Below are 22,691 nucleotides of genomic sequence, written 5' to 3'. Positions count from 1 at the left end.
CGCGATCTTGGCTCACTGCAACTTCCGCCTCCTGAGTTCAAGCAATTCGCCTGCCTCAGCCTCCTGAGTAGCTGGGGTCACAGGCGTGCACCACCAGGCTTGGCTAATATTTTGTATTTTTAATAGAGACGGGGTTTCACCATGTTGGTCAGGCTTGTCTCGAACCCCTGACCTCGTGATCCACCCACCTCGGCTTCCGAAAGTGTTGGGATTACAGGCATAAGCCACCACGCCAGGCATTTCTTGATTTTTAAACGGAGGGATGGATAGAGTGAAATTTGTTTCTTTTCTTTTCTTTTTGAGATGGAATCTCACTCTGTTGCCCAGGCTAGAGTACAGTGGCAAGCTCTTGGCTCACTGCAACCTCTGTCTCCCAGGTTCAAGCAATTCTCCTGCTTCAGCCTCCTGAGTAGTTGGGATTACAGGTGCGTGCCACCACACCTAGCTAACTTTTTATATTTTGGTGGAAATGGAGTTTCATCTTGTTGGCCAGGCTGGTCTCGAGCTCCTGACCTCAAGTGATCCACCCACCTCGGCCTCCCAAAGCGCTGGGATTACAGGCGTGAGCCACCACACCCAGCCTGAAATTTTTTTTTTCTTTATTTTTTGAAAGGGAATTTCACTCTTGTTTCCCAGGCTGGAGTGCAGTGGCAAAATCTCAGCTCACTGCAACCTCCACCTCCCAGGTTCAAGCAATTCTGCCTCAGCCTCCCGAGTAACTGGGATTACAGGCACCCACCACTACACCCGGCTAATTTTTTGCATTTTTAGTAGAGACGGGGTTTCACCATGTTGGCCAGACTGGTCTTGAACCCCTGACCTCAAGTGATCCACCCAGCTTGGCCTCCCAAAGGACTGAGATTACAGGCATGAGCCACCATGCCCGGCCTGAAATTTGTTTCTTATATTCCTCTCTTAACTATCTGATCTCAGAGAGCAGTGCTCCAGACATTAATACAGCTACCCTGGTCTGCTATATTATTCTGTCACAGAAACAAATAAAAATACCTACTGTTTTGTTGCTAAGAATTCGAAAAATTAAGTAGGGTTTTGTGAAAGTATCCTCGTTTTTTCCCACCAGGTGTATTTTCCTTATATTTTCTCTAATCTTTCTTCCTGTATCAACCATTCTCATCTGGCCTATTTGATGGTTTAGTGGGAATTAGGATATGGTGGAATTGATATTAACGTAGGGCCATCCCCCTTTCCTCACAAACCTTGTTAGAGGTGATGAACAGATTAAGGGCAGGACGGCCATAATTCTTTCCCTTTGCTTTCCTCCAGGAGGACCCCTGAAGTACTGGTTTGGTTGTAATTATTTTTACTTCCATGAATGATTTTTATTTATCCCTCATTGCTACACAGTGTGATAATTTTGCATGTAATTAAGTATATAATTTTAACTCTGAGTTCTGTTCATATGTTTTAATATTTGTATTGCAGAAGATTCTGCTCAGAACATTAAAAATTAAATGGGGAGGCAAGATTTCTTAAAATCATGTCCTAAAATAATAGCCAGTGTACATTTGTGAAGGGAGGCTTAGTGCAGTATAGTTCTTATTTCAGACTTCTGTTTGTGTAGAACTGTTCTGGTTATCTGTTGCTGTGTAACAAACTTTTTAAAAGGTATTTTAAAATTTTCATTATGGTAAAATATACATAACATAAAATTTATCACTTTAATCATTTTTAAGTGTACAGTTCTTTGGCATTAGGTACATTCACATTGTTGTGAAACCATCACCACCATTCATCTCCAGAATTTTTCATCTTCCCCAACTGGAACTCTACCCATTAAACTCTTAACTCCTCATTTTTCCCTTCCCCAGCTCCTGGCAACAACCATTCTGCTTTTTGTCTAGATGACTTTGACTTACTCTCCACTTGATCTTAGCCAAAAGGCTCAGAAGCGATTACCTTACTCTCAAATAATTGAAATCATACAATATTTGTCATTTTGTGATTGGCTTATTTCACTTAGCATATACCTTTAAGGTTCATCCGTATTATAGCATGTGTTATTACTTCCTTCCCTTTTAAAGCTGAATAATATTCCATTGTATGTATGTACCACATTTTGTTTCTCTGTCAGTGAACACTTGAATTGTTTCCACTTTTTAGCAATTGTGAGCAACTTTTCTTATTGTCTCACAGTTTTGTGGATCGGGAATTCAGGCAGGGTTTAGCTTGCGTCTGCTACACATGGCTACTGGGCTCACTCATTGGTATTCAACTAGTGACTAGATTGGTCTAGATGATCCACAGTGGCTTTACTTAAACGCTTGATACCTTAGTGGGAACAGCTGAAAGGCTGGACCCAGCTGGGTTCTTTTCTGTAAGATGTAGTTTTAGGGTTTTCCACATAGTCTTTCTAGCAGAGTAGTTGGGCTAAGGGTTCCAAGACACCATGGAGGAGGTTGCCAGAAATTGGTCCAGAAATGGCATTATCACCTCTACCTTACTCTATTGGTTAAAAGAAAGTACTGTTGTCATAACCCAGCTCATACTCAAGGGGAGAAAAAAGATGAGCCTTACCTCTCAATAGAAGCAGGAAAGAATTTGTAGCCATGATTAGTCTACCACAGGAGCTCTTGTGACAAGTCAAAGTATGCTAACCATGTGTACTTTTAAATTATTATTTTATTATTATTATTATTATTTTTTGAGACAGAGTCTTTCTGTCACCCAGGCTGGAGTGCAGTGGCACGACCTCGGCTCACTGCAACCTCTGTCCCCCAAGTTCAAGCGATTGTCCTGCCTCAGCCTCCCAAGTAGCTGGGATTACAGGCATGTGCCACCATGCCCACCTAATTTTTATGTGTTTCACCATGTTGGCCAGGCTGGTCTCCCAAAGTGCTGGGATTATAGGTGTGAGCCACCACACCAGGGCATATTTTATTATTATTTTTTGAGATGGAGTCTTGCTCTATAGCCCAGGCTGGAGTGCACTGGCACAATCTCGGCTCACTGCACCTTCTGGGTTCAAGTGATCCTCTTGTCTTGGCCTTTGGAGTAGATGGGACTACAGGCGCAAAACCCCACCATGTACTTTTTAAATTTGTTGTAGTTTTGGGGGTCGCTCTACGTTGATCAGGCTGGTCTTGAACTTTTGGCCTCAAGCCATCCTCCCACCTCAGCCTCCGAAAGTGATGGGATTATAGGCATAAGCCTCTGAGTCTGGCTTGCATTGCTATTATGATATAATTTCTTCAGGCCCTTTCAGTATATAGGGCTGAGAAATACATCCCCCTTATTTACATAATTTAATCAGCCAGTCAGCCATGAGTTCAGTCTGTTACCTCCATTTGAACCTCTAGCACAGAGTACTTCTAAGCTTCCTCCATTCCATATTTCTGTCTTCTACAGGCAAAACCTGGATTTCCTCTAACATCCATAAGGTTATTTGTACTACCCTACTGTAAACACAGTCTAAATACAGAGCTACTTTACCAGTATCCTTTACAGAATTTCTCTGTGGTTCTTTTTGTCCCATGAAAAGTATATGAAGTACCATGTTTGTTAGTTAGTTAAATTTGAATTCTGTATGTTAATCAATTTTTATAAATAGCTAATTTCAGGCTGAGGCAGGAGAATCACTTGAACTTGGGAGGCAGAGGTTGCAGTGAGTCAAGATTGCTCCACTGCACTCCAGCCTGGTGACAGAGCGAGAGTCGGTCTGGGGGGGAAAAAAAAGCTAATTTCTTTGTGTTCTGTTTATCAATTTATATATCTATTTCTTGACGCTCCCTCTCCCCCACCCCCGCTTTTTGAGACTGAGTCCCACTCTGGTACCTAGGCTGGAGTGCAGTGGTGTGATCACGGCTCACTGCTGCAGCCTGGATCTCCATAGGCTCAGGTGATCCTCCTACCTCAGGCTCCCCAGTAGCTGAGACCACAAGCATGCACCACCATGCTGGGCTAATTTTTATAGTTTTTGAAGAGACAGGGTTTTGCCATGTTTCCCAGTCTGGGCTCAAGCATTCTACCCACCTCAACCTCCCAAAGTGTTGGGATTATAGGCATGAGCCACTGTGCCCAGTCAACCGTTTATTTCCACTGGCAAATGTAATCCTTGCTTTATTATTATTATTATTTTGAGAGTGGCTAGGATTACAGGCCACTGTGTGCAGCTAATTTTTTTTTTTGAGATGGAGTCTGGCTATTTTTGCCCAGGCTGAAGTGCAGTGGTGCAATCTCGGCTTACTGCAACCTCCGCCTTCTAGGTTCAGGCGATTCTCCTGCCTCAGCCCCCTGAGTAGCTGGTATTATAGGTGCCTGCCACCATGCCCGGCTAAATTTTTTTGTTATTTTAATACAGATGGAGTATCACCATGTTAGCCAGGCTAGTCTCGAACTCTTGACCTCAGGTGATCCAACTGCCTCGGCCTCCCAAAGTGCTGGGATTACAGCTGTGAGCCACTGTGCCTGGCCTAATTTTTGTATTTTTAAAAGAGACGGGGTTTCGCCATGTTGGTCCAGGCTGGTTTTGAACTCCTGACTTCCAGTGATCCACCTGCCTTGGTGTCCCAGAGTGCTGGAATTACAGGCGTGAGCCACCAGGTCGGCCTGATTTTTTTTTTTTTAATTGTGGTAAACATATAAAATTTACTCTCTTAACCATTTTTATTATTTTTTGTTTTTTTGAGGTGGAGTTTTGCTCTGTCGCCCAGGCTGTAGCACAGTGGTGCAGTCTTGGCTCACTGCAACCTCCACTTCCCAGGTTCAAGTGATTCTCCTGCCTCAGCCTCCAAAGTAGCTGGGACTACAGGCATGTGCCACGACCTCTGGTTAATTCCCCCTCTTCCTCGCCAGACGGAGTCTCGCTCTGTTGCCAGGCTGGAGTGCAGTGGTGTGTTCACTGCAACCTCCGCCTCCTGGGTTCAAGCGATTCTCGTGCCTCAGCCTCCCAACTAGATGGGATTACAGGCTTGTGTCACCACACCTGGCTAATTTTTGTATTTTTAGTAGAGACGGGGTTTCACCATGTTGGCCAGGATGGTCTCAACCTCCTGACCTTGTGATCTGCTCGCCTCGGCCTCCCAAAGTGCTAGGTTTACAGGCATGATCCACTGCGCCCAACCTGCCTACTTTTAATTTGCAGTCAAATAAGCTAATTAATGTTTTCCAATGAAGCCAACTTATTGCTTCCTGGCAACAAGAGTAGTTCTGTGTGAGAATAATTAAACATAAGTGTCATGTTGAGGTTCAGTGGGGTAAGAACTCTAGATTTCCTTAAAAACTCAGGAAGAGGCCGGGCGCGGTGGCTTACGCCTGTAATCCCAGCACTTTGGGAGGCCAAGGCGGGCGGATCACAAGGTCAGGAGATCAAGACCATCCTGGCTAACACAGTGAAACCCCGTCTCTACTAAAAATACAAAAATTAGTCGAGCGTGGCGGACTGTGTCTGTAGTCCCAGCTGCTGGGCAGGTGGAGGCAGGAGAATGCCGTGAACCCGGGAGGCGGAGCTTGCAGTGAGCTGAGATTGTGCCACTGCACTCCATCCTGGGCAACAGAGCGAGACTACGTCTCAAAAAAAAAAAACAAAAACTCAGAATTGAGTGATACCTTTTTAGTTTGGAGAAATGCGGGTAGGAAGGGATGGGGATAGAATTTTAATAACAGAAATAATGTTGAAAGCTTCAAGCCTCACTTAGGTCTTAATTGAAGATCTTGAATTAAATAGAAATTAGGTTAAGGCTTATTAAAAACCATATATGAAGTAAGTAACATTGACATGTATGAAGGCCAATACTATGATTTATATATCTTGTATCAGAAATCTATATAATGCTCACAGTAAGAGAACAGGTTTAAGGACATTAATGAATTTTATTTCTGTTGGCTTTTATTTTCACAGTTAATTGTTAAACAGTTTGGCTGAGGTTATTGGCACATTAAAATATTTCCACATGGCTGGGTGCGGTGCCACATGCCTGTAATCCCAGCACTTTGGAAGGCCAAGGCAAGAGGATCACTTGAGCTCTGTAGTTCCAGACCAGCTTGGGCAAAATAGTGAGACCCAGACTCTATTAAAAAGGAAAGATGGCCAGGCACGGTGGCTCATACTTGTAATCTCAGCATCTTGGGAGGCCGAGGTGGGCTGACCACCAGAGGTCAGGTGTTCGAGACCAGCCTGGCCAACATGGCGAAACCCCGTCTCTACCAAAAATACAAAAAAAATTAGCGGGCATGGTGGCGGGCGCCTCCCAGCTACTGAGGAGGCTGAGACAGTGAGCCGAGATGGCGCCACTACCCTTCAGCCTGGGCGACATAGCAAGACTCCATCTCAAAAAAAATAAATAAATAAAAAATAAAAGGAAAGAAAAGATTTCTTGAATTCCCTGGTGCAGAAAGATAAAATTAATGGAGTGAGTGGAGTTTTTACAATATATGAAATCCAAGATTATACTTTTCAGGGATCAATTCTACAGTTCGTTACAATATATGAAATCCTGATAGTTTTTATTTGCTGAAGACAACAGATCAAGAAAGTTCTAGCTAGTTGTGGTGGCTCATGCCTGTAATCACAGCACTTTGGGAGAGCGAGGTGGAGGATTGCTTGAGGCCAGGAGTTCAAGGCCGGTGAGACCCCCACCTCTACAAAAAATAAAAAATTAGGCTGGGTGTGGTGGCTCACGCCTGTACTGCCAGCACTTTGGGAGGCCGAGGCAAGTGGATCACGAAGTCAAGAGATCAAGACCATCCTGGCCATGATGGTGAAACCCTATCTCTACTAAAAATACAAAAATTAGCTGGACTTGGTGGCGTGTGCCTGTAGTCCCAGGTACTCAGAAGGCTGAGGCAGGAGAATAGCTTGAACCCGGGAGGTGGAGGTTGCAGTGAGCTGAGATCACACCACTGCACTCCAGCCTGGGCGACAGAGTGAGACTCCGTTAAAAAAAAAAAAAATTAGCTTTGTATGGTGGCAGGTGCCTGTAGTCCCAGCTACTTGGGAGGCTGAGGTGGGAGTATCACCTGAGCAGTGAGCTAGGATTGCACCATTGCACTCTAGCCTGTGTGACAGAGGAAGACCCTGTCTCTTAAAAAAAAAAAATGTTCAAGATAACTGTTGCAATAGAAAGTTGAACATAAGCATAATGAAGAAATTTTCTAAATTTCTTTCCCTTGCTGTTGGCATTCGGTCTTTGACATTAATTCATAGCTTCCTAGCTAGTTTGCTTCTACACAGTTACAATTGTGCCTAGACCCAGAATCCCTCAGCCTTTGGAACTTATACACATATCATTGTTTTTGTGTATTATGTGATATTTTAAAAGTTGGTAACTTCCATAATATATGTGTTTTTTTGTTTTTGTTGTTTTTGTTTTTGTTTTTTGAGACAGAGTCTCACTCCGTCACCCAGGCTGGAGTGCAGTGGTACAATTTCGGCTCACTGCAACCTTTGCCTCCTGGGTTCAAGCGATTCTGTGTCTTAGCCTCCCGAGTAGTTGGGATTACAGGTGCGTGCCACCACGCCCAGCTACTTTTTGTGGTTTTCTTGTTTGTTTTTTTGAGACGAAGTCTCACTCTGTTGCCCAGGCTGGAGTGCAGTGGCGCGATCTCAGCTCACTGCAACCTCCACCTCCCAGTTTCAAGCGATTCTCCTGCCTCAGCCTCCCAAGTTGGTGGGACTGCTGGTTACGTACCACCATGCCCACCTAATTTTTGTATTTTTAGTAGAGATGGCGGGGTTTCACTGTGTTGGCCAGCCTGGTCTTGAACTCCTGACCTCATGATCTGCTTGCCTTGCCCTCCAAAAGTGCTGGGTTTACAGGCGTGAACCACCACGCCTGGCCTAATTTTTGTATTTTCACTATAGACGGGCTTTCACCTTGTTGGCCAGGCTGGTCTCAAACTCCTGACCTCAGGAGATCCACCTGCCTCGGTCTCCCAATGTATTGGGATTACAGGTGTGAACCACCATGCCTGGCCTTACGTGTTGTTTTTCTGTTATAAAATTAATGCCTTGCTGGGTGTGGTGGCTCACGCCTGTGATCCCAGCACTTTGGGAGGCCAAGGCAGACAGATCACTTGAGCTCGAGAGTTTGCTACCAGCTTTGGCAGCATGGTACTAAAAATACAAAAAATTAGCTGGGTGTGGTGGTGTGCACCTGTAGTCCCAGCTACTCAGGAGGCCAGTTGGAAGGATCACCTGAGCCTGGGGAGGTAGAGGCTGCAGTGGTCATGATCGTGCCACTGTGCTCCAGCCTAGACGACAGTGAGATACCTATCTCCAACAACAACAAAAAAATTTAGATTAAACATTTTTAGCTTGCAACTAGGGTATAAAATAAAAAAATTTAAAAAGAGATAAACATTTAACACTTCCTACTAAAGTAGTGGCATTGTGATTTGTGTTGGTAAAGCCAGCCCTTAAATAACAGCATTTAGTTCAGTAAGGGAAAGTGACACTGGGAATAACAGTAGAATGGATTTTCATGTGAGATTATCATATTTTGAGATGATTGTAATTTACAATGTGAGTGCCAATTATGTGGTTGGATTGCATTTGTTTCTTTAGATAAAAAGATCACTAAGAATTTTGATTGTCAAGAAATTCATAGAGAAGGTGACAGTTGGGCTGGGATTTGAAGTCTCAGACTTGGGTAGGCAAATGAATGGTAAAACATTCCAGGCAGATGAATGGCAGAAAGGCAGAAGCATGTTTGGTGTGTTTAAGGAAAATAAATAAGTACAGCAGGGCGCAGTGGCTCATGCCTATAATACCGGCACTTTAGGAGGCCAAGGCAGGTGGATCACTTGAGGCCAGGAGCTTGAGACCAACCTGGCCAACATGGTGAAACCCCATCTCTACCAAAAATACAAAAATTAGTCAGGGGTGGTGATGTGCGCCTGTAATCCCAACTACTCAGGAGGCACAAGAATAGTTTGAACTCACGAGACAGAGGTTGCAGTGAGCAGAGATTGTGCCACTGCACTCCAGCCTAGGTGATAGAGTGAGACTCTGTCTCAAAGAAAAAAGAAAAGAAAAAAAAAAAGACAAGAAATGAGTACTACTATTTTGCTTGTGCTGAGGCAAGTTAGGGTTAGGTAAGGCTTAGGTAATTCCCTACCCGTACCTTTTTTTTTTTTTTTTTGAGACACAGTTTCGCTCTTGGGCCCAGGCTGGTGTGCAGTGGCAAGATCTCAGCTCACTGCAACCTCCACCTTCTGATTTCAAGCGATTCTCCTGGCTCAGCCTCCTGAGTAGCTGGTACTACAGGCGCACACCACCATGCCCGGTTAAATTTTGTAATTTTAGTAGAGGCGGGGTTTCACCATGTTGGCCAGGCTGACCTTGAACTCCTGACCTCAGGAGATCCTCCTGCTTCGACCTCCCAATGTGCTGGGATTACAGGTGTGAACCACCATGCCTGGCCTTATGTGTTGTTTTTGTTATAAAATTAATGCCTGGCTGGGCGTGGTGCCTCATGCCTATGATCTCAGCACTTTGGGAGGCAAAGGCAGACGGATCACTTGAGCTCGGGAGTTTGCTACCAGCTTGGGTAGCATGGTGAAACCCTGTCTCTACTAAAAATACAAAAAATTAGCTAGGTGTGGTGGTGTGCTCCTGTAGTCCCAGCTACTCAGGAGGCTGAGTTGGGAGGATTAGCTGAGCCAGGGTTTCTCTGTGTTGGTCAGGCTGGTCTTGAACTCCTGACCTCAGGTGATCCACCCACCTCAGTCTCCCAAAGTGCTGGGATTACAGGCGTGAGCCATCACCCCCGGCCTGTGGAGTCTTTTTTTAGCCTCATGTCCAGATCACATAGCATCTTTGTTTGTACAGGAATCCATTTCTTTTTTTTTTTTTTTTTTTTGAGATGGAGTCTCACACTGTCGCCCAGGCTGGAGTGCAGTGGTACAGTCTCAGCTCACTGCAAGCTCTGCCTAGCCGGGTTCATGCCATTCTCCTGCCTCAGCCTCCCGAGTAGCTGGGACTACAGGCGCCCGCCACCACGCCCGGCTAATTTTTTTGTACTTTTAGTAGAGATGGGGTTTCACCGTGTTAGCCAGGATGGTCTCCATCTCCTGACCTCGTGGTCCGCCCTCTTTGGCCTCCCAAAGTGCTAGGATTACAGGCCACTGTGCCTGGCCCAGGAATCCATTTCTAATTGATGCTGTCTGAGTAAATTTGTTTGTTGCTGAGATTATAGTCATCTGACAATAGGTGTGAAAGCCGTGGATGAGTAAAATTTAAAGAGTGGCTAGCAACATTTTATGTACTTAATTATAATATGAATTTTAAAAAATCACTTAGTGTATGCTTTTTCTTTTTCTTTTTTTTCTTGCGATGGAGTCTCGCCTTGTCCCCCAGGCTGGAGTGCAGTGGTGTGAGCCCCCACGCTGGCCCTAAGTAAACCTTAATAGTAAATTGATGCCATTATTTTATTTTGTTAAGTTTAATACTTGAAAATTGGGTTAAGTTCTGTGGCCATGTATAATTATCCTATAACTTCAAATGCTTATTGAATATCCCTCACGTAGCCACTATAGAATAAGTAGAGGTGGATTCCTTGTGTGTGAAAAGAAAATCATTGAATAAAAATTTTTCCTAAGATTCATGAAGATTGAGTCAGTGTAGATAAAGAGAATACTTTGTTTCTGGCAGAAGTTATTTAGAAAATGTCTTTTGGCTGGGTGAGGTGGCTCACGCCTGTAATCCCAGCACTTTGGGAGGCTGAGGCAAGGCAGATCACTTGAGGCCAGGAGTTTGAGACTAGCGCGGGCAACATGGCAAAACCTCTTCTCTACAAAAAATACAAAAATTAGCTGGATGTGGTGCAGGCGCCTATAGTCCTGCCCACTCTGGAGGCTGAGGCAGGAGGATTGTTTAAGCCAAGGAGATTAAGTGTACAGTGAACCATAATTGTGCCGCAGCACTCCAGCCTGGGTGACAGAGTGAGAACCTGTCTCCAAAAAAAAAAAAGTAAGAAAATCTGTCTTTCTTCTTGAAGCATATACCTATAAAGCTTTGAAGAAAGGGTAAAAACCAGGTAGTAATAAAATAAAATTGTCTTTAGATGTTTTTGAAATAATGTTGTATAGCTTTGTTTGCTGTGTTCAGTTCTCATATTTCCTTGATATTTTATCAGACTTTTTTTTTTTTTTTTTTTGAGACAGTCTCGCTCTGTCACCCAGGCTAGAGTGCAGTGGCGCAATCTTGGCTCACTGCAACTTCTGCCTCCTGGGTTCAAGCGATCCTCCCACCTCAGCCTCCCAAGTAGCTGGGACTACAGGCATGAGCCACCATACCTGGCTAATTTTTGTATTTTTTGGTAAACATAGGGTTTCAGCATGTTGGCCGGGCTAGTCTCCAACTCTTGATCTCAAGTGATTTGCCTGCCATAGCCTCCCAAAAGTGCTGGGATTACAGGTGTGAGCCATCGCACCCTGCCAAATGTTTAATACTGTAATCCACTGCTGCTATCTCAATTGTTCTATACGTTTTTCTTATACTGTTTTTTAAAATTGTTCTTTTTTTTTTTTGAGAGGCAGTCTCAGTCTGTTTCTTAAGCTGGAGTGCAGTGGCGAGATCGCAGCTCACTGCAACCTCTGCCTCCCATGTTCAAGCAATCCTCCCACGTCAGCCTCCCGAGCAGCTGGGACTACAGGTGTGTGCCACCACCATGTCTGGCTAATTTTTGTATTTTTAGTAGAGATGGGGTTTCGCCATGTTGGCCAGGCTGGTCTCGAACTCCTGACCTCAGGTAATCCACCTGCCTTGGCCCCCCAAAGTGCTGTGATTACAGGTGTGAACCACCACACCGGCCTTAACTGTTCAAATTTTTAAACAGACTTTTTTTTTTAGGGCAGTTTTAGGTTCACAGCCAAATTGCTGGAATGTACAGAGTATTCCCAACAAACCCCCTGGACTCACTCCTCAGTAACACTCCCGTCCCCCAGGAAGACTTCCCCTCCCCAGTCACACATGCCTCCCACAGTAATGCCTCCCCTCAGTCACCTTCCAGAGTGGTACATTTGTTTGTTTTGTTGTTGTTTTTTTATGACAGAGTCTCGCTCTGTCACCCGGGCTGGAGCACAGTAGCATGATCTCAGCTCACTGCAACCTCCGCTCCCCCGGGTTCAAGCAGTTCTCCCACCTCAGCCTCCCAAGCTGGGATTACAAGCATCCGCCACGACACCTGGGTAATTTTTTGTATTTTTGGTAGAGACGGGGTTTCACCATGTTGGTCAGGCTGGTCTCGAACTCCTGATTTCAGGTGATCTGCCCACCTCAGCCTCCCAAAGTGCTGGGATTACAGGTTTGAGCCACCACGCCCGGCCCTAGAGTGCTATATTTCTAAACCAACATCACAACATTATCACTCAAAGTCCATATTCGTGTATTGTTTCCTTGTATATTTTTCAGCATGGTAAATCCCAAATGTTCTATTCATGTAATGCTCTTGGTTTAAACTCTAAGTTAGATTTAGCATATTGTCCTTTAATATTCCTAATTTTGGCTTTTCTTGTTTGGCCAGGGTGAGCTCTAAGTGCTGATTTACTTTAAATCCTGATGATAATCAGCATGCTTTATTTATTTATTTATATTTTTTGTTTGTGACAGGGTCTCGCTCTGTCACCCAGGCTGGCTGGCGTTCAGTTTCATGATCATGGCTCACTGCTGCCTCCACCTCCTGGGTTCAAGCCATCCTCCCATCTCAGCCTCCCAAGTAGTAGAGACTACAGGCATGTGCTACCACGCCTAGCTAATTTTTGTATTGTTTGTAGACACGGGGTTTGTCATGTTGCCCAGGTCTCAAACTCCTGGACTCACGTGATCCTCCTGCCTCAGCCTCCCAAAGTGTTCATGCCTATTAACAGGCATGAGGCTCTCTGCCTGGCCTCATAGTTATTTTAACGTCTCTGTCTGATAGCTTTAGCGTTTGGTCCACCTCTGTTTCTGTTTTTTTTTTTTTTTTTTTTTTTTTTTACTTATCTCTTGACAATGGGTACTTATTTATGTCTTGACAATGTATTTCAGGCTGGGCACGGTGGCTAACACCTGTAATCCCAGCACTTTGAGAGGCCAAGGCGGGTGGATCACCTGAGGTCAGGAGTTCAAGACCAGCCTGGCCATCATGGTGAAACCCCACCTCTACTAAAATAATACAAAAATTAGCCGAGGGTGGTGGCACATGCCCGTAATCCCAGCTACTCAGGAGGCCGAGGCAGGAGACTCGCTTGAACCTGGGAGGTGGAGGTTGCAGTGAGCTGAGATCGTGGCATGTTTTGTTTTTTTAAGAGACAGGGTCTCGCTCTGTCACCAAGGCTGAGGTGCAGTGGCACCGTCATGGCTCATTGCAGCCTCAAACTCCTGGGCTCAAGCAATCCTCCCACCTCAGCCTCCTAAGTAACTGGGACTACAGGCACATGCCACCCTGCCCAGCTAATTTCTTTTTCTGTTTGTTTGTTTTTTTTTCTCCGTAGAGATAGAGCCTCACTATGTTGTCCAGGATGCTGTCAAACTCCTAGGCTCTAGCAGTCCTCCCACCTCGGCCTCCCAAAGTGCTGAGATTACAGGCGTGGGCCACCATGCCCTGCCTCATCCCATTGTTTCTTTTTCCTTCACTTAGTACCTCAGTTGGGGCCTATTGGGTTTTGTTTTGTTTTTAACTTGGTAGATTGTATGAAAACTTCATTCCAAGGCATTCTGACTTCATTAGGACACTGAAGTTTCCCATGAACTTTTAATATTGCATATTGTGCTTTGGCTATTGAGAGTGTGGTGTCAGTTCACAATAGGACAAATGCAGAAATTGAGAGTAAACAGAAACATTTATAGGTCATTTGCTATTGATTACGAACGTCTAAGTGCATTTCAGTGTTTTATATTTTACAAATGTGTTGGAATTTTACTTTACTTATTCTTTTGAGACAGGTTCTCGCTCTGTGGCCTAGGCTGGAGTGCAGTGGTACGATCATGGCTCACTGCAGGCTTGACTTCCCAGCTCAAGCGATCCTCCTGCCCCAGCCTCCTGAGTAGTTGACACTACAGGCATGTGTCACTACACCCAGCTACAATTTAAATTTTTAGTAGAGACAAGGTCTCACTATGTTTTCCAGGCTGGTCTTAAACTTTTGGGCTCAAGCGATCCTCCCATCTTAGCCTCCCAAAGTGCTGGGATTACAGTTGTGAGCCACCACTCCCAGTGTGTTGGAATGAAAAAAAAAAAAAAAACTGATTCTTCACCATTGATGGTTTGAAAAACACTGCCCTGGATCACCTGATGAGCTCCAGAAATAGTTCCCCCTGCCCTTATTTCATACCAACAACCTAGGTTTCTCACAATAGTTGAGATCAGTTACCCCAGCCACGGTGAAACTGTTCTTTAACTGTTGTTTCAGTTGGCATGAGCTCAAAATGGTCAAGTGACAAACTCAGCTTCACTGTAGTGGAGCGGTTGTTGTGTCCTAAGGTAGAAGTATTCCAAGACCTCTAAACCAAGAAACCAAGACCTCTAAACCAGCTGACCAAGCGTTTTAAGGATGGAGGAAAAAATGTTTTTTGAGTAGGTTATTAGGTATGATAATGAGAGGGGGCACTCTGATTCAATCTTTTAATTTCCAGATCTGGACTGACGTGGTGGCTCATGCCTGTAATCCCAGCACTTTGGGAGGCCAAGGCTGGCAGATAACCTAAAGTCAGGAGTTCCAGACCAGCCTAGCCAACATGGCAAAACCCTGACTCTACTAAAAATACAAAAATTAGCCAAGCATGGTGGTGGGCACTTGTAATCCAAGCTACTTCGGAGGCTGAGGCAGGAGAGTCATTTGAACCCGGGAGGCAGAGGTTGCAGTGAGCTGAGATCATGCCATTGCATTCCAGCATGGGTGACAAGAGCAAAACTCAGTCTCAAAAAAAAAAAAAAAAAAAATTCCAGATCTGTGTACTGTGGGACAAGTGACAATTTATTGGTCACTGATTTAGGTAATGTATCACATGTTATAAAATAAGTAAGCACCTCATCTTCTCAGCGCGTTATCTTTCAGCTGGTATTATCACAGTAAGCTATTCCACTTTACTATTAAGCTGGCTGTCCTGAGTGATAGGATAGAAAGACCAAGGAATTTGATGACTATGAGCCCATCATTAGAAAAAAAAAAGATTAACAAATTATGATCTGGTGATTTTTAACACTTACAAAATTTTAATTTTATACTTGCTGAAAGAGCTCCTATAATTAACTCATTTAGACAAATTTTTTCCACATCACCTTCTTACATATGTAAAGGAAAATAAAATTGAAATAATTGGTTTTTGTTTTGTTTTGAGACGGAGTCTCACTCTGTGGCCCATACTGGAGTGCAGTGGCATGATATCAGCTCACTGCAACCTCCGCTTCCCGGGTTCAAGCAGTTCTCCTGCCTCGGCCTCCTGAGTAGCTGGGACTACAGGCACATGCCACCATACCCGGCTGTTTTTTTGTATTTTTAGTAGAGACAGGGTTTCACAATGTTGGCCATGCTGGTCTCGAACTCCTGAACTCAGGTAATCCGCCCACCTCTGCCTCCCAAAGTTCTGGGATTACAGGCATGAGCCACCGTGCCTGGACAATTGGTTGTTATTCCTACATTCACATTCATAGTTTGACCCTTGTGATCTTTTTTGTTAAAACTAGTAATTGATGCTTGTGTTTTTCCACACAGTGTTGTCATCACCAGTAGTGTTAGTGATACAGATTTTTTTTTTTTTTTTTTTTTTGAGACAGACTCTGCTCTGTCACCCAGGCTGGAGTGCAGTGGCGCGATCTTGGCTCACTGTAACCTCTGCCTTCCGGGTTCAGGCGATTCTCCTGCCTCAGCCTCCTGAGTAGCTGGGACTACAGGCGCCTGCCACCATGCCCGGCTAATTTTTTGTATTTTTAGTAGAGAAGGGGTTTCACCGTGTTAGCCAGGATGGTCTAGATCTCCTGACCTCGTGATCCACCCGCCTTGGCCTCCCAAAGTGCTGGGATCACAGGCGTGAGCCACCTTGCCCAGCGTGATGTAGAATTCTTTTGAGTGCTCCAACTGTTGTTGCTGAGATGTTCTTCTGAGCCATTAACACTTAATGCTGCAAGATTTGATGCTTGTGCTTTCTAGATGTTATCAGTTGTTATCAGCACAAGATTTTCAAAGTGAAATTTGTGTAAGTGCAAGTAACAGTAGTTTCCTTACAATTGCTTCTGGCTGTCTCTCATTGGAAAACTGCTGATTTTGAGACACATCACAATTTCAGAGATCTGAGCCTTAGAATTCATAAAACATGGTTATTTAATTTATCACAGCCCCCATGTATGCCAGACAGTAGATCTGGCAATTATCATCTCTAAATATCAAATCTTACAAGATTATATTGCTGTCCTCATTATGTAGTCACAGAAAGACTAAGTAATTCAGATTACCTATCCATTAAGAGGCAGAACAGAGGCCAGATGGAGTGGTTTATTTCTGTAATCCTAGCACTTTGGGAGATTGAGGCATGAGGGTCACATGATCCCAGGAATTTGAGACCAGCCTGGGCAACATAGTGAAGCCCTGGCTGTACAAAAAAAAGCTGAGTATGGTGATGCATTCCTGTAGTCCCAGCTACTTGGGAGGATGATGTGAGGATTGCTTGAGCCCAGGAGGTCAAGGCTGCAGTGAGCTATGATTGTGCCACTGTATTCCAGCCTGGTCCACAGAGGGGAGACCCTATCTATTTTAAAAATTAAAACCAAAAAAAAATTCAGGGTGGGCATAGTGGCTCCCACCTGTAGTAATACCAGCACTTTGAGAGGCCGAGGCTGGTGGATTACCTGAGGTTAGGGGTTGGAGACCAGCCTGGCCAACATGGCGAAACCCTGTCTCTACTAAAAATACAAAAGTTAGCCTGGTGTGGTAGCGTAGACCTGTAGTCCCAGCTACTTGGGAGGCTGAGGCAGGAGAATCTTTTGAACCCATGACCTGGTAGAGGTTGCAGTGAGCTGAGATGGTGCCACTGCACTCCAGTCTGGGCGACAGAGCAAGACTCCATCTCAAAAACAAACAAAATTCTATTTTATTTATTTTAGTAGAGATGGGGTTTCACCATGTTGCCCAGGCTGGTCTTGAATTCCTGACCTCATCCACCTGCCTCGGCCTCCAAAGTGTTGAGATTACAGGCGGGAGCCACTGTGCCTGGCCATCTTAATAATTTCTAACTTGTTTTTTTGAGACAGAGTCTTGCTCTGTCACCCAGGCTGAAGTATACAGTGGCATGATCTCGGCTCACTGCAATCTCCACCTCCCGGGTTCAAGTGATTCTCCTGCCTCAGCCTTCTAAGTAGCTGGGATTATAGGTGAGACCCACCGTGCCCGGCCTAAATTTTCTTTTTTAAAAACAGCTTTGTTGAGATATAATTCTCATACCATAGAGTTTACCCATTTAAAACGTACAATTGGCTGGGTGCGGTGGCTCACACCTGTAATCCCGCCACTTTGGGAGGCCGAGGTGGGCGGATCACTTGGGAGTTTGAGACCAGCCTGACCAACATGGAGAAACCCCATCTCTACTAAAAACATAGAAAATAAGCCAAGCGTGGTGGCGCATGCCTGTAATCCCAGCTACTCTGGAGGCTGAGGCAGGAGAATCACTTAAACTCGGGAGGTGGAGGTTGTGGTGAGCCGAGATCATGCCATTACACTCCATCCTGGGCAACAAGAGCAAACTCTGTCTCAAAAATAAAATAAAATGTATGGTTGTTTTTAGTATCATCACAAATGCTTGCAGTGATTGCCACAGTCAGGTTTTTTGTGGTGTTTTTCTTTTTTTTTTTTTTCTGAGACAGAGTCTTATTCTGTCGCCCTGGCTGGAGTGCAGTGGTGCAATGCACTGCAGCCCTGGCCCCTGCAAGTTCAGTGATTGTGCCACCCCAGCCTCCTGCGTAGCCGGGTGTGCGCCACCATGCCAAGCTAATTGTTGAAACTTTTTTTTTTAGAGATGGGGTTTCACCTGTTGCCCAGTCCGGTCTTGAACTCCTGGGCTCAAATGATCCATCCACCTGCCTCAGAACCCCAAAGGGCTGGGATTGTGTGAGCCACTTTGACCAGCTCGTAGTCAGTTTTAGAACAGTTATCATCTCAAAATGAAGTCCCTGTGTCCATTAGCTATTACCCTCATATTCCTCCCCACAGTCCTAAGGAATCACTAACCTACTTTTTGTCTATGTACATTTCCCCGATCTGGACATTTCATATAAATGGAATCATAAGCAAGTGGTCTGTTGTGGCTGGCATATTTCAGTTAGCATAACATTTCGCCCAGTCATACCATCAGTTCTTTTTTTTTTTTTTTTTTTTGAGATAGGTTCTTGCTCTTTCATCCACGCTAAAATGTAGTGGCTCCATCTGGGTTCACTGAAGCCTCGACCTCCCGCATTCAAGCAATCCTCCTGCCTCAGCTTCCTGAGTAGCTGGGACTATGGACATGTGCCACCACACCTGGCTATCTTTTTTTTTTTTGGTGTTTTTTGTAGAGACAGGGTTTCACTATGTTGCCCAGTCTCAAAATCCTGTGCTCAGGTGATCTCTGGCCTTGGTCTCCCAAAGTACTGTGATTACAGGTGTGAGCCACCATGCCTGGCTTTCATTATACCTTTTATGGCCAGATAATACTGTAGTGTATAGGTGTACCAAATTTTGTTTATCCGTTTGTTAGTTGATAATAAATGGGGTTGGGCTGGGCTCAGTGGCTCACACCTCTAATTCCAGAACTTTGGGAGGCCAAGGTGGGCAGATAATCTGAGGTCAAGAATTCAAGACCAGCCTGGCCAACATGGTGAAATGCCATCTCAACTAAAAATAGAAAAATTATCCGGGCATGGTGGCACATGCCTTTAATCCCAGCTACTCAGGAGGCTGAGGCAGGAAAATTGCTTGAAGCCAGGAGGCAGAGGTTGCAGTGAGCTGAGATGGCACCACTGCACTCCAGCCTGGGCAGCAGAGTGAGACTCGGTCTTTAAAAAAAAAAAAAAAAAAAATCCAGGCGTGGTAGCTCACACGTGTAATCCCAGCACTTTGGGAGGCCGAGGCAGGTGGATCATGAGGTCAGCAGTTCAAGACCAGCCTGGCCAAGATGGTAAAACCCCATCTCTACTAAAAATACAAAAATTAGCAGGGCCTGGTGGTAGGCGCCTATAAACCCAGCTACTCGGGAGGCTGAGGCAGAGAATTGCTTGAACCCGGGAGGCGGAGGTTGCAGTAATGCAGTGAGCCGAGGTCGCACCATTGCACTCCAGCCTGGGTGACAGAGCAAGACTCCATCTCAAAAAAAAAAAAAAAAAAAAAAAGGTTTGATTCACCTTTTGGCTATTGTGAATAATGCTGCTATAAACATTCTTGTGCAAATTTCTCTTTTCTTTTTCTTTCTTTCTTTTTTTTTTTTTTTTTTTGAGACGGGATATCTTGCTGTGTTGCCTACCTCCTGAGCTTAAGGAATCCTGCTGCCTCAGTCTTTCAAGTAGCTGAGACTACTGGTACGTGCTACCATACCCAGCTAATTTTTAAATCTTTAGTAGAAATGGGGTCTTGCAGTTGTTGCCCAGGCTAGTCTTGCATTCCTTGTCTCAAGGCATCCTCCCTCCTTGTCTTTCCAAATTGCTAAGATCATGGGAGTGAGCCACCATTCCTGGCTTATGTGCAAATTTTTGTGTGGACATTGCCATTATTTGGATAAGGTTTGTCCTCACCAAAACTTATGTTGAAGTTTGGTTCTCATTGCAGCAGTGTTGGGAATTGGGGCCTACTGGGAGGTGTTCCATCATGGGGCCAGTCCCTCATGAATAGATAATGCCATCTTGTGAGAGTGAGTTCTCACTCTTCTGGGACTGGATTAGTTACCCAAAAAGTGGGTTCTTATAAACAAGCTTGGTCCAACTCACAGCCCGTGGGTCACATGTGACCCAGGATGGCTTTGAATGTGGCCCAACACACATTCATAAACTTTCTTAAAACATTATGAGACTATTGTGCAATTTTTTTTGTTTGTTTTAAGGTTATTAGCTATCATTAGTGTTAGTGTACTTTATGTGTGGTCCAAGACAATTCTTCTTCCAGTGTGGCCCAGGGAAGCCAAAGGATTGGACACTACTGTTAGAAAGCAGGTTTACTCCCTCATGTTTATTTCATGTTTCCTCTCTCTTTTTTTTCCCCCCTTTCAGACAGTCTCTCTCTCACCCAGACTGGAGTGCAGTGGCATGATCTTGGCTCACTGCAGCCTCCGCCTCCCGGTTCAAGTTATCTGCCTCAGTCTCCTGAGTAGCTGGGAGTACAGGCACATGCCACCATCCCAGGCTAATTTTTTGTATTTTTAGTAGAGATGGGGTTTCACAATGTTAGCTAGGCTGGTCTTGAGCTCTTGACCTCAAGTGGTCCGCCAGCATCACCCTCCCAAATTGCTGGGATTACAGGCGTGAACCACCATGCCTGGTCATGTTTGTTTAATTTCTTTGTCAGATTATTCATTCCAAGTGTATAGAAATAGGATTTTTAAAAAACATATTTTAATTAATTTTTTTTTCTCAATAGAGATAGGGTCTTCCTGTGTTGCCCAGGCTGATCTCGAACTCATGGGCCTGAAGTAATTCCCCTCACCTCATCCCCTCACAGTGCTGGTTTTACAGATGTGAGCCACCACTTCCAGCCTATAGTAGTCCTTTATGATCAGTTTTATTTATTTCTCTTTTTCCCAAGACACAAGTCTTGCTGCAACGCCCAGGCTGGAGTGCAGTGGTGCAATCTTGGCTCACTGCAATCCACACCTCCTGGGTTGAAGCGATTCTCCTGCCTCAGCCTCCCAAGTAGCTAGGATTACAGGTGCCCGCCACGCCTGACTGATTTTTTGTATTTTTAGTAGAGACAGGGTTTCACCATATTGCCCAGGCTGGTCTCGAACTCCTGACCTCAAGTGATCCGCTTGTCTTGGCCTCCCAAAGTTCTGGGATTACAGGCATGAGCCACCACGCCTGGCCAATGGGTTTTATTTCTGTAAGGTAATTAGTAACATGTCTATTTTCATTCTGAATGTAGTAATTTGGTCTTTTTTTCTTGGTCAGTCTAGCTGAAAAGTCGTCAGTTTTGTTGATGTTTTCAAAGAACCAGCTTTTTGTTTCCCTTTCTCTAGCTGCCATCATGTTCTTCTGGGTGGTAATATTTTTGGCAACTGATATAGGAAGGCGATGCCCACTTCTGCTTCTCTGCCACTGTCTGCTTTTTCCCACCACCCGTTTCTCATCGTGCCTGTAGGGGAATTTCCCTATACTTACTGTTGATTTTCCTCTAAACTCTCACTGCTCCTGCCATAATTAATTCCATCTGCCTTTTTCCCACATATGTACGCTTGTCTGCTTGAATCTCTTTTCCTTTCCTTTTTTTTTCTTTCTTTTTTTTTTTTTATTGAGATGAAGTCTCACTCCATCACCCAGGTTTGAGTGCAGTGATGTGATCTCAGCTCACTGTAACCTCTGCCTCCTGGGTTCAAGCGATTCTCCTGCCTCAACCTCCCAAGTATATGGGATTACAGACACCTGCCACCATGCCCAGCTAATTTTTGTGTTTTTAGTAGAGACGAGGTTTCGCCTTGTTGGCCAGGCTGGTCTCGAACTCCTGACCTCAAGTGATCCCCCCCTCCCTCCACGGCCTCCCAAAGTGCTAGGATTACAGGCGTGAGCCACTGCGCCTGTCCTGCTTTTTTTTCTTTCAACTCTTAATCCGTTTAACCTTAGAAAAACTGCTGTGTTTTATTTTATTTTTGAGCAAAAACACCTTACATAATGTTTGATCATTTTAAGCATAAGGCAAACGATTTACCTTTATGAAGGAAAAGGAAAGCCAGAGTACTTGACATTCAGTTAATGGATTAAGAGATCTATTAAGTTGCTAGATGCTCCCATCTAAATTTTCTACTGTAGTCTTCATCTAACTAAATTGTGACAAAGTAGGCTTTTTGAGTTTGCCTGGGAACATAATCACTTAGTAGTTATAACTAATACAGTACAGTTTTTATAGTATAATGTGTGTATTTCAGTAGTCATTTGGGGAAGCATTCCTCCTACTATACTATATGTAACATATAGGTAAGAGTACTAAGCAGTGAGTGACTAGCTACATTGCCTGCATTTAATTTTTTTTTTTTTTTTTTTTTTTGAGGCAGTCTCGCTCTGTCGCCCAGGCTGGAGTGCAATGGCGTGATCTCTGCTCACTGCAAGCTCCACTTCCCGGGTTCATGCCATTCTCCTGCCTCAGCCTCCCTAGTAGCTGGAACTATAGGCGCCTGCCACCACGCCTGGCTAATTTTTTGTATTTTTAGTAGAGACGGGGGTTTCACCATGTTAGCCAGGATGGTCTCGATCTCCTGACCTCATGATCCGCCCACCTTGGCCTTCCAAAGTGCTGGGATTACAGGTGTGAGCCACTGCACCCGGCCGCCTGCATTTAGATTTTTATGCCCTTGGACAACTTATTTGGCCTGTTTCCTCATCTGTTAAACGGGGGTATTAATAATAATGCTTCTCATAGATATCATTGTATTACATAAGTTAATAGTGTATTCAAATTATTTGAAATGTACCTGACGCATAGCAGGAACACAATACATGTTAGCAGCTATTAGTACTATTGCAAGTGGTTCCTATAAACAAATAGGCTTTAAGAATTAAGAATTTGTAAAGAAAATAAAATGGAAACAGTTT

At 44.5% G+C, this 22,691-nt stretch overlaps 1 protein-coding gene across 5 annotated transcripts in view, besides 1 other annotated feature; it reads left to right on the top strand.

The window, feature by feature from the left end:
• The window catches only part of PDS5A (PDS5 cohesin associated factor A), a 155,049-nt gene that overhangs the window by 10,307 nt on the left and 122,051 nt on the right, over positions 1-22,691 (top strand). The window lies entirely within an intron of this gene.
• Positions 5,562-5,621: an enhancer, noted in NCBI's record as "active region_21470". NCBI's record gives its function as "activates an Ori minimal core promoter by ATAC-STARR-seq in GM12878 lymphoblastoid cells {active_cell/tissue: GM12878}" and the evidence as "EXISTENCE:reporter gene assay evidence [ECO:0000049][PMID:35858748]".

This window comes from Homo sapiens, chromosome 4 (genome assembly GCF_000001405.40).
Source record: "Homo sapiens chromosome 4, GRCh38.p14 Primary Assembly".
Taxonomy (NCBI): Eukaryota; Metazoa; Chordata; class Mammalia; order Primates; family Hominidae; genus Homo; species Homo sapiens.
This window is presented reverse-complemented; position numbering and strand designations above follow the sequence as displayed.